Raw genomic sequence first — 17529 nt, forward strand, 5'->3', positions numbered from 1 at the left:
AACCAATTTAAAAAAAAAGGAAAGACAACTGCAGAAAACTGAATACTAAGTGGATATTTGATGAAATTGCAAATTATTGTGAATTTTGGCAGGGGAAGATGATGGCATTGCAGCCATGTGTTTTTGAGTCCTTGTCTTTCATAGATGCATCATGATATCATGATGTACCCACAGATGACATGACCAGAGGTCTGGGATTTACTTCAGAATAGCCCCATTTGGGCTGAGTGCGGTGGCTCACACCTGTAATCCCAGCACTCTGGGAGGCCAAGGCTGGTGGATCACCTGAGGTCAGGAGTTCGAGAGCAGCCTGGCCAACATGGCAAAACCCCGTTTCTACTAAAAATACAAAAATTAGCCAGGCATGGTGGTGAGCGCCTGTAATCCCAGCTACTCCGGAGGCTGAGGCATGAGAATCACTGGAATCCAGGAGGCAAAGGCTGCAGTCAGACGAGATCGCGCCACTGCACTCCAGCCTGGGCGACAGAGCAAGACTCCATCTCAAAAAACAAACAAACAAAAACCCAAAATAGCTCCATGTGGGGTAGGGTGGACAAGGTGTCCACGTGCTGATGGTGGTGCAGCTGGAGTGTCCTGTGTACTAATCTCTCTACTTTTATATATGCTTGAGATTTTCCATGACAAAAAGCTCTTAAAATTGCATTAATAAGATAGTAACTAAGATGAAAGATTAATAAGATAATGATTAACATTAATATCAAGATAAAAGTCTCCATAAACAAAGTGAGAAAACAAGATAGACTAGGAGAAGGTATTATTTTAGGAACAGAGGACTTAGTGTCTAGATAAAATATATAAAGAATTCTTATAAGTCACCAAGAAAAAGACAACCCAATAGAAAAATTCATATGAATGGGCAATTTACAAAAAAGTACACCTGAATGGCCCATAAACATATGAACAGATATTCAACCTCACTGTTCTTAAGGAAACTATAATAAAAACAAGAATGAAATACTATTTTCCATCTTGCAGATTGGCAAAAGTCTGTTAACACAGAGATGATGGTACACTTGTAGGGAAATGGGAGGGCATGTGAAATGATACAAACCCTGGAAGGAGTCTAGCAAAGTTAAAGAAGCAGATGCCCCGCACCCTAGATATCCCACCACTAGATGTTTCCCTAGAGAAATTCATGTCACATGTGGTGGGACATGGTGGCTCATGCCTGTAATCCCAGCACTTTGGGAGGCCAAGGCCGGGGGGATCATTTGAGCCCAGGAGTTCGAGACCATCCTGGGCAACATGGTAAAACCCCATCTCTCCAAAAAAAAAAAAAAGCAGAAAAATTAGCCAGGCATGGTGGTGTGTGCACCTGTGGTCCCAGCTACTCAGGAGGCTGAGGTGGAAGGATTGCTTGAGCCCAGGAGGTCAAGACTGCACCACTGCACTCCAGGCTTGGTGTTAAGAGTGAGACCCTATCTAAAAAAAAGAGAGAGAGAGAGAGAAATTTGCACATGCCCACACAGGCACATGCAGTGATTATGGAAAAATGTTCTTGGCACCACTAATATGATGACAACACCTGGAACCAATCTAATTGACCATCAACAGGAGAATGAATAAACTGTAATTTATTGATTGATGTAGGTTGAATTGTATTCCCCCAAAATACATGTTTAAGTCCTATCCCCCACTCCCCGTGCATGTGACCTTAACTAGACACAGGGTCCTTGCAGATGTCCTGTAGTTAAGATGAGGTCATACTGGAGTACAGTAGACCATAAATCCAATGACTGGTGTCCTTCTAAGGAGGGGAAAACGTGGACAAAGACACAACAGACGCACAGAAGAGAAGGCCGTGTGAAGATGGAGGTGGAGATGGGAAGGATGCACCTGCAAGCCAAGGATTGCTGGCCCCCCACCAGACGCTGGAATAGGCAAGGAAGGGCTCTCCTTTACAGGTTTCAGAAAGAGCAGAGCCCTGCTGACACTTTCAATTTGGACTCCTGGCCTCCAGAACTATGAGGCACTGTGTTGCTTTAAGTCACCCAGTATCTGGTAATGTTATGGCAGCCCTAGAAAACAAATACATTCATAAAAAGAATATTACACAACAGTTCGATGAACAGGCTGCACCTGTAATTTATCAATATAATAAATCTCCAGACCCGCATGGTGGCTCAGGCCTGTAATCCCAGCACTTTGAGAGGTCGAGGCATGGTCATAGCTTGAGGCCAGGAGTATGAGACCAGCATGAGCAACATAGGGAGACCCCGTCTCTACAAAAAAATTTTTTTAATTAGCCGGGCATGGTGGCATGCACCTGTAGTCCCAGCTACTCAGAAGACTGAAAGGAGGATCACTTGAACCCAAGAATTCAAGGCTGCAGTAAGCTATGATCATGCCACTACACTCCAGTCTGGGCAACAAAGAGAGACATTTTTATTTTTATTTTTATTTATTTATTTTTTATATATTTATTTATATATATTTATATTTTTTATATATTTATTTTTATTTAAAAATAGAAATACAAAACTTGAAAAATCTCAAAGACATAATGCTATGTAAAAAGACATAGCATTTTGATTCTAAATAACAACCAAAAAACATACATTTTGATGCTAAATAAATAACAACCAAAAATATACATTTTATTCATAAATATACTGTAGGAAAAGTATCACGCATGAGAATGAATTATCACCATTAGGACAATTGGTTACCGGGAAGAGAGGGGAGAAAAAATGGAGATCGTGGGCTTTATTATGTTTTATTTCCCTAAAAAGTTTTGATTTGAAGTATATAGGGCAAAAGGGTATTATCTTTCAAATATGGGTGATGTGAAAGGGTGGCTGTTATATAATTCCCTTCACATTACTGAATATTCTTAGTGTTTCATAATTAGAAATAAAGTAATTAGATTTTGAGAAGAAAGAAATTAATAACTAGTTATCCAATCAAGGACAACTGGACTGTAGTTTTCTTGGTTTGGTTTTCATAAGCTACATTATAGAACTATAATTAGTAAGACTCAATAATTCAACATTGTCATTTGACACCATTTCAGAAAAACTCTCAAGCCATGTTTCCCTCTGCTCTCACAATACAGCGATCATCAACACCATGACCAAAGGTAAGGGGTGGGGGCGCGTGGGGCAGTGAGGGCTCAGTTCCAAGACTGCCCCACCCCTCAGACACAAGCAGCAAGTTCAGGCCTGTAGAGCTTTCTTTTTTTCTTTTTCTTTTCGGGTTTTTTTTTTTTTGGAGACGGAGTCTCGCTCTCTCACCCAGGCTGGATTGCAGTGCACGATCTCCGCTCACTGCAAACTCCGCCTCCCAGGTTCAAGCGATTCTCCTGCCTCAGCCTCCCAAGTAGCTGGGACTACAGGTGCCCGCCACTATGCCCGGCTAATTTTTATATTTTTAGTAGAGACGGGGTTTCACCATGTTCGCCAGGCTGGTCTGGGCTGACTTCTTATCTGGGCTGACTTCTTATCTGGGCTGTTTGTTGGCTATGAGGACCTAGGGATCACAGAAAATCCTGGCCATTCCAGGAAGCCTCTAATCTGAATGTTTTTACTTTATTTTCAGTTGACATCCATTTTGCAAAAGGAATGCTTACAGCCAGGCGAGCAGCCCTCTAGGCTGATCCTGCAAGGTTATTCTCCTACAGGAGACGCCCGTGTGTGTCGAAGGCTGGACTCCTGCCCAGACCCTCCACGTGGGCACAGCAGCCAGGCCACGCCTTGTGCCAGGGGCCAAGTCCACAATGGGCAGGGCGAACAGTTTCTACCCTGGCAAGTCTCAGGGAACATACCCTTGACTCTCAACTAACTGTACTATATTTTCTGTATATACCTTTCAGGATTTTAGCTTCCTCCTGCAAATGCACTGTAAACCAAAAATAAAATTCCAAGCATCCCAACTAACTGAATGGACCTCTCCTCTTGGCCAAGGCGATTCCAAAGAAACCTGTAAAACTAATTCAGGCCATGACAGGAAGGAGGGGCTAGGCTCAGTGGCTCATGCCTATAATTCAGCACATTGGAAGGCCAAGGCTGGTGGATCACTTGAGGCAAGGATCCAAGACCAGCCTGGCCAACATGGCAAAACCTTGTCTCTACTAAAAAAAAAAAAAAAAAATTAGCCAGGCATGGTGGTGCATACCTGTAATCCCAGCTACTTGGGCGGCTGAGGCAGGAGAATCGCTTGAACCCAGGAGGTTGCAGCGAGACTCTGTCTCAAAAAAAAAAAAAAGACAGGAAGGAGGAGTCCAACATACCTCATTATTCCCTCCTCCATTGAAGTTCAGGCACAAATGACCAGCATTAACATTCAAACAGAGGTCTCAAGACTGACGAAACAGACTTTTTGTAGAAATAAGGTATGAAATTCCAACCTGACTCAAATACAGCATCCAAGGATATAGACAGCAGGCCCTGAAACAAATCAAGTATTTTACCCCAAAATATTTTTGACATATTTTGAAAGGGCCCTGCAAAGCTATCTCTTGTAGGGGAAACTTACATTCTGTAGAGAATCCCCTTCCCTTTCCAGGTCTCTTTCTGATCCTGAAAAGATTACCTGAGAGTCTGGCAGCTTTTAAAGGTCTGAACAGAAAACATTTGCTATCTATTGCCTCTAAGGGTAGCCATCTATGAGACTTCACCTACATAATAAGAACTTTGGTCTCCCAAACCTCTTATCTTAACCCAGACCCTCCTTTCTATTGATTCCAGGTCTTTCATTATTAATTTAACTCTTTCAACCAAGCACCAATCAGAAAACCTTTGAATCCCCCTGTGACCTGTAAGCTACCACCCTGACCCTGCCATCCCCGATCTTTGAGTTGTCCCACCTTTCCAGACTGAACCAATGTATACCTCACATGTATTGATCGAGTTCCTATGTCTCCCTAAATGTATAAAACCAAGCTGTAACTCAGCCACCTTGGGCACATGTTCTCAGGCCCTCTGGGGGCTGTGTCATGGGTCATGGTCCTCACATTTGGCTCAGAATAAACCTCTTCAAACATTTTACAGAGTTTGACTTCCTTCTGTCAACAACACATGTATTTATTAAAAGATAATTTTCAGAAAGAAGTAAAACCATCACTCTTCAACAGATATAAAAACAAACAACATTGAGGATTGTACTCTACTTGAACGACAGGAAAAAACTAACAGATGTTCTAACAGGCTTGAAGGAAAATCAAAAGAGCACAAATGCAGCACTGGAAAGTGTAAACTAAAAACTCTAAGCCCCCAACCAACTGACTGGATCATCTCTTCACCAAGGAGACCCCAGAATAACCTTAAAAACTGAGTTATTGGCCATACAACTCAGTTATATAGTTATGGGTTGGGGGATCACACACCTCTCATTATCCGCTCCTGACTCACTAATCACCATGAGGCTTTCTTTTCTAAAGGCTAAACAGAAACTAGCCTCTTCAAACAACCCCACACTGATATCACCCAGCCGCATGACACTGCCCTCCTTTTTGCCTGATAACAAAACACCAACCATGACATGGTTCTGGCCTGTCTACAGAGGGTGCACAGTAAGGATTTTTGTGTCCTCTGCTTCAGCTTTTAACAACAGAGGGCCAAAAATACCACCCTTGGATCATGCTAACGCAGTCATTTTTTGAACATGGCTCCCATGAAGAGGCAAAAAGCTCAATTGCCCACGTACACGGTTCTCCTTCAAAAATATTCATGGCTGAGAACAGTGGCTCATGCCTATACTCCCAACACTTTGGGAGGCCAAGACAGGAGGATCACTTGAGTCCAGGAGTTCAAGACCTGCCTGGGCAACACAGGGAGACCCCATCTCTACAAAAAAAAAAAAAATTAGAAAATTAGCCAGGCTTGGTGGCACACACCTGTGGTCCCAGCCTTTTAGGAGGCTGAGCTAGGAGGAGCACTTGGGCCCAGGAGGTCAAGACTGCAGTGAGCCAATGATCATGCCACTGCACTCCAGCCTGGGGGAGTGAATGAAACCCTGTCTCAAAAGTATTAGCTAATCCATTATTTTAAAAATTCATAACCCCTCCTATAGCTTATTGAATCTGTGTGTTTGGCCACACTGTTCAGCACAGATCCCTGTACTATTCTTCCCACACTGGAAGGGTCTGTTTCCAGCTTCTGGCCAGAGACTACACTTCCCAGCCTGTCAGAATGGCCGCTTTGCGGGCTGCAACACTTTATGAGAAATAAAGCTCTCTTTTTCCAAATTTATGAAACTCATCATTCTTTAGTTGACAAAAGAAATGTTGAGATGAATTGCAAATGAAGACAAAATATCTTTTTGGCCAAACGCAGTGGCTCACACCTGTAATCCCAGCACTTTGGGAAGCTGAGGCAAGAGGATTGCTTGAGGCTGGGAGTTAGAGACCAGCCTAGACAACATGTTTTTTTTTTAACTTTTTTCCACAGGAGGGGAAAGAGTCCATTAATTCTGCATGGAAACGGGATAGAATTTACAGATCTATCAGATCTGCCACTTACTCCTAAAAATGGCTCAAGTACAATGAATGGAGCTGGAATCAGACAGCCCACAGGGCGTGCTATAGACATGGGTACTTTTCCACTGAGGCACTTTTTACAAATGATGAGGTCCTTTATTGTGAGTAAGAAGGTTTCCTTTTCCTCCTGTGCTGGGGCAGGACTGTGTGTCTGAGATGCATGACAGAGTCCTCGTTACACATGCTGTCAATAAAGGCTTTTCTGTATCATGGCAGATGTGTTTGGGGCCACCTTCTGGTCATCCCCAGGTCAGTTCTGTGGTCTCCACTGGTGACGTCTCTGGAAATCAGGACGCTTTTCCTAGCTCTGTGGAGTGCCCTGCAGGACACCCTGGTGGCCATGTTCGTCGGCAATGCCCACACTGGCCACCACCAGCACAAATGCATGATTCCCCATAGACATTGCTGCAAGGTGCTGCATATGTGTGAATGACTTCTATGTGATGGTATGCACAGGAGAGGAGCATATGGAATTGGAATTTGCAGATCAAATACTCAACAGTGATCCCCATGGGTTTTGATGTGTAATTTTCCAGAGAGATTTGCTTGTGTGAGGCAGAGCTGGAGGGGCCACAGGAGTCACTCTGTAGGGGTGAAGGAGCCTCACTCTGCCTAACACAAGCATGTCCCTCTGGAAAATTACACATCAAAACCCATGGGGATCACTGTTGAGTGTTTTTTGTTTTTTGTTTTTTGTTTTTTTTGAGACGGAGTCTCACTCTGTTGCCCAGGCTGGAGTGCAATGGTGCAATCTCCGCTCACTGCAACCTCTGCCCCACTGGTTCAAACGATATTCCTGCCACAGCCTCCTGAGTAGCTGGGATTATAGGCACATGCCACCACGCCTGGCTAATTTTTGTATTTTAGTAGAGACTGGGTTTCACCATGTTGGCCAGGCTGGTCTCAAACTCCTGACTTCAGGATACATCCACCTCGGCCTCCCAAAGTGCTAGGATTACAGGCATGAGCCACTGTGCCCAATCTTACAGTTGAGTGTTTGATCTGCAAATTCCAAGGGTATGCTCCTCTCCTGCGTGTACCTTCACAAGGCACTCCTTTACTCCGTATACATTTGCACTTCTTGACTTCTTTTTTGAACCAGTTACAACATCTGCCTATTTCTCTCTTTAATGAATAAAATAAAATATTTATCACTTTTATATCTGTATAAAAGTCACGATTTCACCTTTGGCTGAAAATTATCTTTTAACAATGTAATCAAACATTCCCTTTCTAACACTGGCAGTCAGACAGGTAAGAGAGGTGATAAAGTATGGTGAGGGTGTGGTTTTCCTGATTTCACGCCCTAAGGATTCAAATAACTCACAAGTCAGACTTCCAGGCACAACGCAGTTCTCCAACAGAAATAGAGAAAACAGATTTTGACAAGCAAAAGGGACTGGTGCAGTTGGGATTATAACAAGCAGGGAAGTCTAGGAATACATCTCCAGCCTCCTGGGAGAGCCTGAGCCCGGAGGGGGCAGAGAGGAGGAGGAGGGAGGTCTGGGGGAAGAGAGGTCTGCAAAGTAGGGGAAGGGAAGGCCAGGAGGGAGGGAGGCGCAGCGGGGAGGAGAGGAGAGAAGGGAGGAATACATTTCTGGAAGCTTTAGAAATTTAGAAATAGAAACCACGTGGAAGTGCATCCAGGGCTCAGGGTTACAGAGGACCCCAAGACAACACAGGAAAGTGGGGTCTAATGGGAAAGGCAGGAGGTTTCTCCTTTACTGCTTAAACATTGTAGGAACTTGCATGGCAAGTGATTTTCAATCTTGCAGCAGGGAAGGCAGGGCCAGTACTTATCCTTAGATGATTCTACAAACATCAAACTTCTCCAAATATTTATTTTTCAGCAGCCATGCTTGTATTTTCCAAGTGTCTATGGTCGAGATAGCATGAATTAGGAAGCTACCTGGATGAGCCCACAATGGCCCTCTTAGACATGCCAACGACGCCCCTGCAGAATCTGCTTTTTCTCTGGCTGTTCCTAGGCCTGGATAGGGTTCCCAGGCCTGGACAGGATTCCCCGGATACCGGCGAGGCTCATTACTAACCACTTTATTTTAAATGGGCTTTGAAAACAACAGGTGGCATCTTCCATCAGCAAGTGGACATAAATCTCAGTGCCCAGTGTTTCCAAGGCCTGCCCGACCCACATGGCTGTGGGGTGTAAACTGTCCAGTCGTTCCTGGCACACCTACCCAGCATTTAGGATGTCCCACTCTTAGATCCATAGACCCAGCACCTCTCTTCTTAATACCCACCCTAAAGAAAAGCTGTCGAATGTGGATGCTGATTTAGTTGCAAATATGCTCAGTTTTTTAATAGTTTTATATTAGTAAAAACGCTACAACCAGAATGTCTCACTGCAGGAAGAGAGTTACAAGGAGTATTTAACGGCATGGTGGAAAGGCTCCTCCGTGCTAAATGGCCAAAACGAACGCAAGTTTGCATACGGTGTGATTTCCACTATGTCTTTAAAATGCATGGCGAAACACCTACAGGAAAATACCAAAATGTAAACAGCGGCTGCTTCGGACGCATGGGATCGTGGAGGCTGCTGTTCTGCAAGGACAACGTATCACTTTTATGAAAGTCAGCTTCTGAAAACGGACTATGGGAAGTTCCTTACCCGTGCACGCGGCAAAGACCTTCTTTGCCATAGTCAGAACACACGCGGGAGTTCAGAGGAGCGGGGCCCGGGCTTGTGTGGGCTTGTGTGCCCCGGGGACGCGCACGTACCTTGTCCCGCGGCCTGAGACTGCGCTGCACCGCGCGGAGGCCGAACCCAGAGGAGGCGGCGTGGCGCCGGGCGGGGACGCGAGAGGGACGTGGACGCGGCGACCGAGGACGCGGGGATCCTGCGGGACCAGTGGCTCCAGTCGTAGCCTCCTGGGAGAGCCAAGCCCGGAGGGGGCGGAGAGGTGGAGGAGGGAGGCCTGGGGGAAGAGAAATCTGCAAAGTCGGGGAAGGGAAGGAAGGCCAGGAGGGAGGGAGGCGCAGTGGGGAGGAGACGAGAGAAGGGAGGGAGGGAAGTGTGAGGGGAGGGGAAGAAGTGGGGTGGTCGGAGGGTGGGGTAGGGAGGAAGAGGGAGGGAGAGATGGGAGAGGCTCCAAGATAAAGAAAGGTGCAGGGAGAGGGGGTGGGAGGGAGGGAACCGCAGAGAGGAAGGGAGAAGAGAATCAGGCAGCCTTGAGGGAGGAGGCAGGGAGGCCAGGAGAAGGAAGACAGCCAGCCTTCTGTGAGATTTACGTGCGTGCCTGGCTTCCAAGACAAGTAACTTCTGTTGTAAATACAAATTAAGCTATTTTTTGTTTATTTTATTTTATTTTATTTTATTTTATTTTATTTTATTTTAGAGATAGGGTCTTATTCTGTCACCCAGGCTGGAGTGCAGTGACACAATCATAGATCACTGGAGCCTCGAACTCCTGGCTTCAAGTGATCCTCCCCTTCAGCCTCCCAAAGTGCTGGGATTACAGGTGTGAGCCACCATGCCCAGCCACAATTTTTTTTTTTTTTTTTTTTTTTTTTGAGATGGAGTCTAACCCTGTTGCCGAGGCTGGAGTGCAGTGGCACGATCTCAACCTCAACCTCACTGCAACCTCCACCTCCCGGATTCAAGTGATTCTCCTGCCTCAGCTTCCCCAGTAGCTGGGATTATAGGCACGCGCCACCACGCCCAGCTAATTTTTGTGTTTTCAATAGAGACGGAGTTTTACCGTGTTGGCCAGGCTGGTCTCGAACTCCTGACCTCAAGTGTTCCACCTGCTTCGGCCTCCCAAACTGCCGAGATTACAGGCGTGAGCCGCCGCACCCGGCCCCAGCCCCAAATTAAGCCTTTTTTTAAAAAAGAAATTAATACACGTTTCATACTTGCCTCCTTCGTATTTTCTCTGGTCATCTGCCCAAGGTTATGACAACAGCTTCAACTTGGCTGCAGAAGCACACCCCTGTGGCTCACTCAAACTGGAAACATACAGGAAAAGGGAATTCTAGGAATATAGCTCAGCCTGGACAAATGGGCACATTAAAAAGCCATTGCACCGTGGTGGCCGCACTTCCTGCCATCCCCACTGCAAAGGTGTTGTTATGGACTGAATGTTTGTGTCCCCTCCAAAATTTGTACGTTGAAATCCTAACCACCCCGCCCATGGTGGTATTTGGAGGCGGGGCCTTTGGGAGATGCTTAGGTCATGAGGGTGGAGCCCCCAAGAATGGGATTTGTGCCGTTACAAAAAGAGGCAAGGGAGCTTGCTTCCTCATCTGTATGCCAGGAAGAGGATACTCACCAAGAACCCAATCCTGCTGGCCCATCCCAGACTTCCAACTTCCAGAACTATAAGAAATAAATGTTGTTTAAGCTACCCAAGTCTATCTATGATGTTTTTGTTGTTGTTGTTGCTGTTGCTGTTTTTGAGACAGAGTCTCGCTGTGTCGCCCAGGCTGGAGTGCAGTGGTCCCATCTCGGCTCTCTGCAACCTCCGCCTCTCGGGTTCAAGCAATTCTCCTGCCTCAGCCTCCTGAGTAGCTGAGACTACAGACATGTACCACCATGCCCAGCTACTTTTTGTATTTTTAGTGGAGATGGGGTTTCACCATGTTGGTAAGGATGGTCTCAAACACCTGACTTCAGGTGATTCACTGGCCTCGGCCTCCCAAAGTGCTGGGATTACAGGCATGAGCCACCTCGCCCAGCCTGGTGTTTTTGTTATAGCAGCCCAAACGGACTAAAACAGTGTTTTCCTTCTAGAGATACACTAATTTTCTTTCAGACAGGATCTTTCAAAACCCAGTCTGAAACATCTGCAGTTGAATTATTTTATGGGCTTGGAATTTCTCTAAAATAGTGGTTAGGGATTTTTTAAACATCAGAATAATTTAAAAAGTTACCAAAGTGTTATTACCCAGAACAAATTCAGGGTCAGCGCCAAAGAAAAAAATTTATTTACTTTTTTTGAGACAGGGTCTCACTCTGTCACCCAGACTGGAGAGCAGTGGAATGATCACAGCTCACTGCAGCCTCTACTTCCCTGGGCTCAGGTGATCCTCCCACCTCAGCCTCCTAAGTAGCTGGGACTACAGGCATGTCACCCAATTAAGTTTTTGTTTGTTTGTTTGTTTTTGTTTTTGTAGAGACGGGCTTTCGCCCTGTTGCCCAGGCTGAAGAAAAATTCTTGTTTCCATCCTACAATGCGCAAATTGCTTGTGACACCTAAAAGGACAATTTTTCAACTTCACCAATTTTAGTGCCAAACTCCATGGAAAATTAATCACACAAGTGATTATTTAACCTAGGTTCTTAAAAAAATTAAGTTTCCTTCTTACAGAAACTCTCAGCAGAAATGAACTCTAAGATTTCATGGAGTTCCCTATAAATTAAAGAGCTATGACTCAGCGTTTGCTGCTCGTTACCCCTCCAAAGTTATCTTTATTTTTCATTATAAAATAGGTAACTAAATTCCAGGGACAGAATGAGTCCAAGCTGAATTAACAAACAGGGCAAGGTCAAAGTTAAACAAAATTGCTGACTCTGCTCAAACTCCTGTGATTTACACTGACCTTGAAGGCAAGGCCAGGAAAAGTATTCCTTGGAATTGCTCCTCTAAAGACGCTTGGAACAAAATCAGAAAAAGTGCTGCTGTGTTTCAGAACATCTCAAAATAATACCTGAGGGCAAACATATTCTATGTCATCTGTTACCATTTCCTGGCCGTGCTGCTGACTCAGCCTCCAGCACTCCTTGGTGGAGCTGCAGGGAGCCCGCTGGGAAAGCGCTGAATCCTGTGCACAGGAAAGGCACTGCTGGTGAAGACAGGTGAGAGGCTGGGTAGGTGATTTCTAGAAGGTTCTTGAGCACCAGTCGGCCATCTTGTCATCCCCAGATAGAAAGCTTAAATTTGCTTTTTTTTTCACTTTTTATTAATGAAAATGTACAAACATATAGAAAGGTAGAAAGAAGAATACAATTAATTCCCATATACCCCAGGCCTAAATATAATTATCTTTAGTATTTTGCTAAACTTGCTTCATCGATTTTTTTTTCAAAAGTGTAGAAATTATAGACAACTTGACATTTTACCCCTTAATAATTTTGTAGTAGTCAGCCTCCAAGATGACTCATAACGTGCCCTGCCTCTGAGAAATCACAACCCTATGTAGTCTCCTACACTTACCATGGTTGGTCTGTGTGACCAATAGTCTACCAACATAGTGATGGTGTATTAGTCTGTTTTCATGCTGCCAGTAAAGACATACCCGAGACTGGGCAATTTACAAAAGAAAGAGGTTTAATGGGCTTACAGTTCCACGTGGCTGGGGAGGCCTCACAATCATGGTGGAAGACGAGGAGGAGCAAGTGACATCTTATGTGGATGGTGGCAGGAAAAGAGAGCTTGTGCAGGGAAACTCCTTCCTATAATACGATCAGATCTTGTGAGACTTACTCACTAACATGAGAACAGCATGGGAAAGACCTGCCCCCAGGCCAGGTGCCATGGCTCACGCCTGTAATCCCAGCACTTTGGGAAGCCAATGTGGCCAGATCACCTGAGGTCAGGAGTTTGAGACCAACCTGACCAACATGGTGAAACCCCGTTTCTACTAAAAATACAAAAAATTAGCTAGGCATGGTGGTGGGTGCCTGTAATCCCAGCTACTCAGGAGGCTGAGGCAGAAGAATCTCTTGAACCCAAGAGGGGGAAGTTGCAGTGAGCTGAGATTGCACCACTGCACTCCAGCCTGGGTAACAAGAGCAAAACTCCATCTAAAAAAAAAAAAAGACCTACTCCCAGGATTCATTACCTCCCACTGGGTCCCTCCCACAACACACAGGAATTCAAGATGAGATTTGGGTGCGGACACAGCCAAACCATATCAGATGGTACGTCTCTTCCAACATTAGATTAGACTCTGGGACTTCCACCTCTCTCTTCTCTCTCTCTCTTTCTCTTTCTGTGTGTGTGTTTCTGTGTGTCTCTGTGTGTGTGTGTCTAGCTTTCTCTCTCAGATCACATGCTGTAGGGGAAGTCAGCTCCCAGCCATGTCTTGAGTAGCCTCTGGAGCAAAGAAATCGTGACCCACAGCCATGTTCCTGGGCCATCCTGGACAAGAATCCTTCAGCGTCAGCCAAGTGTCAGATGCCATAACCCCATGGTAACCTCCTGAGAGACCCTGAGCCAGAAACTCCAACTAAGCCACTCCCAGACTCCTGAACCTCAAACTGTGCAAGATAATAATGTTTATTGTTGTGAGCTGCTAAGTTTTGGGCTAAATTGTGACACAGCGATTGTTAGTTCACACAGATGTTGATACCTTTGATAACTGGAAGTGGGGTGCTGCTATGACAACACTTCATGTGTGATAGTGACTTTGGAACTGTGGCTTTGGATTATCGAGAGTGTTAGTGAAAGCCTTGATTTACCCGAAAAAACCTGTTGATAAAAGATTCACGTCTTTTGTTTTTGTTTTGTTTTTTAGAGACAGGGCCTCACGCTGTTGCTCAGGCTGCGGTGGCATGGTCATAGCTCTTTGCAGCTTCAAACTCCTGAGCTCAAGGGATCCTCCTGAGTCAGCCTCCCAAAGTGCTGGATTACAGGCACATGCCACCACACTGGGCCTAAGACTCGGATCTTTAAAGATTGCAAGTGAGCACTTGTAGGAAAGTGAGGTCAATGAACTAGAACCTGGAGGAAGGGGGTCCTTGTTATGCAGTGGCAGACAGTTTGGCAATGCTGTTGACTGCAGTTATGTAGACAGAAGCAAATTAGCTGGGTAATCTGGCCAAGGAGATCTTCAATTGGTGTTTAAAGTACTACCTAGTTTTTTCTAATTCCTTCTAGTAAGATGCTAGAAGATAGGTCAACAAAAGGAAAGACAGTTAAATATAAATGAATTAGAACTGGATAGTTCTGGAAATTCTCAGTCTGCCTAGATGGCAAATGTATTAGGCCGTTCTTGCACTGCTATAGAGAAATACCCGGGCCAGGTGTGGTAGCTCACACCTGTAATCTCAGCACTTTGAGAGGATCACAAACAAAACAGGAGGATCACTTGAGCCCAGGAGTTTAAGATCAGCCTGGGCAAGGTAGTGAGACTCCGTCTCTACAAAAAAGTGAAAAAATTAGCCGGGTGTGGTGGTGCATGCCTGTAGTCCCAGCTACTTGGAAGACTGAGGTGGGAGGATTGCTTGAGCAAAGGAGTTCAAGGCCACAGTGAGCCAAGATCACACCACTGCACTGCAGCAATAGTCAGGCTCTGTCGCTCAAGATGGAGTGCAGTGGCATAATCTTGGCTCACTGCAGCCTCAACCTCCCAGGCTCAAGTAATCCTCCCATTTTAGCCTCCCGAGGAGCTGGGAATACAGGTGCGACCACCACACTCAGCTATTTTTAAAATTTCCTTGTAGAGAGAGGGTTTCACCATGTTGCCCAGGCTGGTCTCGAACTCCTGGGCTCAAGCTATCTGCCTGCCTTGACCTATCGAAGTGTTGGGACCACAGGACCTGGCCGTCAGACACTTACACAAGCAGATCTCGTGGGAACTCAGAACAAGATCTCACTTATCAGCAAGAGGATGACTCAAGCCATCCATGAGCTTCAGTTTTGAATCACCCCCATGATCCAAACTCTTCCCTCCTACCAGGCCCCACCTCAAACACTGAGGATTATATTTCAACATGAGATTTGGGTGGGGACAAATATCCAAACTATATTAGCAAATTATGAAACAATTAAGAAATGGCTTCTAAGCAAAGATCAAATGCAGGTCCTGCCAGAAAAACTGTGGTCCAAGATGAACCCTTAGGTGTGACTGTAAGATTCCAAAGAGATATAAGGTGGCATCTCAGAGTACCACTGAGTCAGACAAAGGGCCTGCTCTATAGAGTAAAGGTGCACCCCACAGCCTCTCTCAATCAAAGGAGAGTGCTTCTAGGAAGCTTAGGGGCTTTGTCCCTCAGCTGTCTGCAGAAGCCAAAGGTAGAGAACAGATTTGTGGGTGTTGCATTTGTCTATGGAGTGAACCCCAATAAAATTCACAGAAAATCCATAGTTTAAGAGAATTGTATATACGGAAATGTTACCAGCTTGGACTGAAAGGAACAGAAATAATACAACCTAAAAAGAAGACCTTATTTGTTACTTATTTTGGGGGGAGGGGACAGGGTCTTGCTCTGTCAATCAGGCTGGAGTGCAGTGGCACGATCTTGGCTCACTGCAGCCTGGACCTCCTGGGCTAAAACAATCCTCCCACCTCAGCCTCCCCAGTAGCTGGGACTACTGGCACATGTCATCATACCTAATTAGCCATGTCATAATGGCTAATTTTGTTTTTATTTTTTGTAGCAATGAGGGTTTCACTATGTTGCCCAGGCTGGTCTCGAACTCCTGGGCTGAAGTTATCCTTCCACCCCAGCCTCCCAAAGTGCTGGGATTACAGGAATGAGCTACAATGACTGGCCAAAAAGAAGACCCTAAAAATTCTACTGTCAAGCAGTGGACTGAGGCTGCTCCTCAGCCACACACGACACCTTTTTTTTCTCCCTTTGTGAACAGGGGCGTCTGGAGTAGTTATTCTGTGTTCTCTTACATGTTCAATTGGGGAGGGAGAGGCAGAGGTAGACAGACAACCTATCAAGAAGAATTATAATGTAGAAACTGTATTTAAGGAAATAAAGTCCCACCTGGACTTGATTTAGATGATCTGGAGATGGAACTGATGCTACAATAGGATAAGCCTTTGGGGAACTTTGGAAGGAGTTGATGGTATTTTGCATGTGGGAAGGATGTGAAGCTTTGGAGACCAGAAGGTGGACTGTGGCTGTCTGCTGGCTGGCCTGTACTGATTCTCACCTCTAGCAGTCATACCCTTCAGTAGTCCCCAACCCCGCTGTGCCTCATCGCACCATAGTTGGTCTGTGAGACCAATGACATGCAACAGAAGTAATGTGCTATGGTTTGAATGTTTGTCCCTGCCAAAGCTCACGTTGAAATTTAATCCTAAATGTGGCAGTGCTGAGAGGTGGGGCCTTTAGGAGGTGATTGGGTCATGAGGGCAAAATGGATCAATCCATTCATGGATTCATGAATTTATCTTGGGAGTGAAACTGGTGGCTTTATAAGAAGAGGAAGATCTACCTGAGCTAGCACGCTCAGTCTCCCTGCCGCCTGCTGCCCTGCACTCCTTGGGACTCTGCAGGCTCCGCCAGCAAGAAGGCCCTCGCCAGATGCAGCCCCTCAACTCTGGACTGCTTGGCCACCATAACTGTAAGAAACAAGTTCTTTTACTTTGCAAATTACTCAGTTTTAAGTGTTCTGTTATAAGCTACAGAAAAACGGATAAAACATAACAGGCTGTCACTTCTGATGTTAACTTATTTTTATAAGTGGCTTCATCTTGGCCTCTATTTTCCACTCTTGCTCCCTCTGTCAGATCACTTGCTCTGGGAGGTGCCAGCAGCCCTGTGAGGAGGCCCACGTGGTGAAGAACTGAGGCTGCTGGCCAGAGCCAGCCATGAGCGGAGGCTTCTTTCCAGGATCCATGTGGCTGGGTCATCTTGGACACAAATCCTCCAGCCCCAGTGAAGTTTCAGATGACTGCAGCTCTGGCCAACATCTTGATGGTCACTTCCTGAGAGACCCTGTGCCGGAACCATGGGCTAAGCCACCCCCAGATTCCTGACCCTCAAAAACTGTATGAAATACTACATATGCGTGTTTTACATCACTAAGTGTATTAAGCATGTGTTTCTTTTTCTTTTCCTTTTTTTTTTTTTTTTTGAGATGAAGTCCCACTCTGTCACCCAGGCTGGAGTGCAATAGCACGATCTCGCCTCACTGCAACCTCTGTTCCCTGGGTTTAGCAACTCTCCCACGTCAGCCTCCCAAGTAGCTGGGACTACAGGCACGCACCACCACACCCAGCTAATTTTTTTGTATTTTTAGTAAAAACGGGGTTTCACCATGTTGGCCAAGCTGGTTTTGAACTCTTGACCTCAAGTGATCTGCCCGCCTCGGCCTCCCAAAGTGCCGGGATTA

The 17529-nt window shown here is 45.6% G+C and overlaps 1 protein-coding gene across 6 annotated transcripts in view, besides 4 other annotated features; it reads right to left on the reverse strand.

Annotated features, from left to right (window-relative positions):
* Positions 1-9513, reverse strand: part of CMBL (carboxymethylenebutenolidase homolog) — a 30308-nt gene extending 20795 nt beyond the window's left edge. Inside the window, exons 1-2 of one of the 6 annotated variants that reach the window (XM_047416717.1) lie at positions 4552-4645; positions 4250-4406 (exon numbers count right to left, since the gene is read on the reverse strand). The gene's annotated coding sequence lies outside the window, so the exon portion shown is untranslated. Of the gene's footprint in view, positions 1-4249; positions 4407-4494; positions 4646-9125 lie in introns of those variants that run through there. The other 5 variants (XM_047416718.1, NM_138809.4, XM_047416714.1 and 2 more) reach the window with 5 other exon arrangements.
* Positions 1767-1943: a silencer, noted in NCBI's record as "fragment chr5:10300268-10300444 (GRCh37/hg19 assembly coordinates)". NCBI's record gives its function as "represses an EF-1alpha promoter that drives an FKBP-Casp9 reporter gene in an ReSE screen in K562 erythroleukemia cells {active_cell/tissue: K562}" and the evidence as "EXISTENCE:reporter gene assay evidence [ECO:0000049][PMID:32094911]".
* Positions 8791-9291: an enhancer, noted in NCBI's record as "H3K4me1 hESC enhancer chr5:10307292-10307792 (GRCh37/hg19 assembly coordinates)". NCBI's record gives its function as "activates a minimal SCP1, AML or CMV promoter by ChIP-STARR-seq in primed H9 embryonic stem cells {active_cell/tissue: H9 hESC(primed)}" and the evidence as "EXISTENCE:reporter gene assay evidence [ECO:0000049][PMID:30033119]".
* Positions 12116-12348: a transcriptional cis regulatory region, noted in NCBI's record as "candidate enhancer chr5.702 targeted for multiplex CRISPR interference". NCBI's record gives its function as "positively regulates CMBL gene expression with high confidence in K562 cells {active_cell/tissue: K562}" and the evidence as "EXISTENCE:mutant phenotype evidence [ECO:0000015][PMID:30612741]".
* Positions 14908-15202: an enhancer, noted in NCBI's record as "tiled region #12783; HepG2 Activating non-DNase unmatched - State 22:ReprW, and K562 Activating DNase matched - State 8:EnhW". NCBI's record gives its function as "activates a minimal TATA promoter and a strong SV40 promoter by Sharpr-MPRA in HepG2 and K562 cells {active_cell/tissue: HepG2 | K562}" and the evidence as "EXISTENCE:reporter gene assay evidence [ECO:0000049][PMID:27701403]".

The sequence above is a fragment of the Homo sapiens genome, chromosome 5 (genome assembly GCF_000001405.40).
Source record: "Homo sapiens chromosome 5, GRCh38.p14 Primary Assembly".
In the NCBI taxonomy this organism is placed as follows: domain Eukaryota; kingdom Metazoa; phylum Chordata; class Mammalia; order Primates; family Hominidae; genus Homo; species Homo sapiens.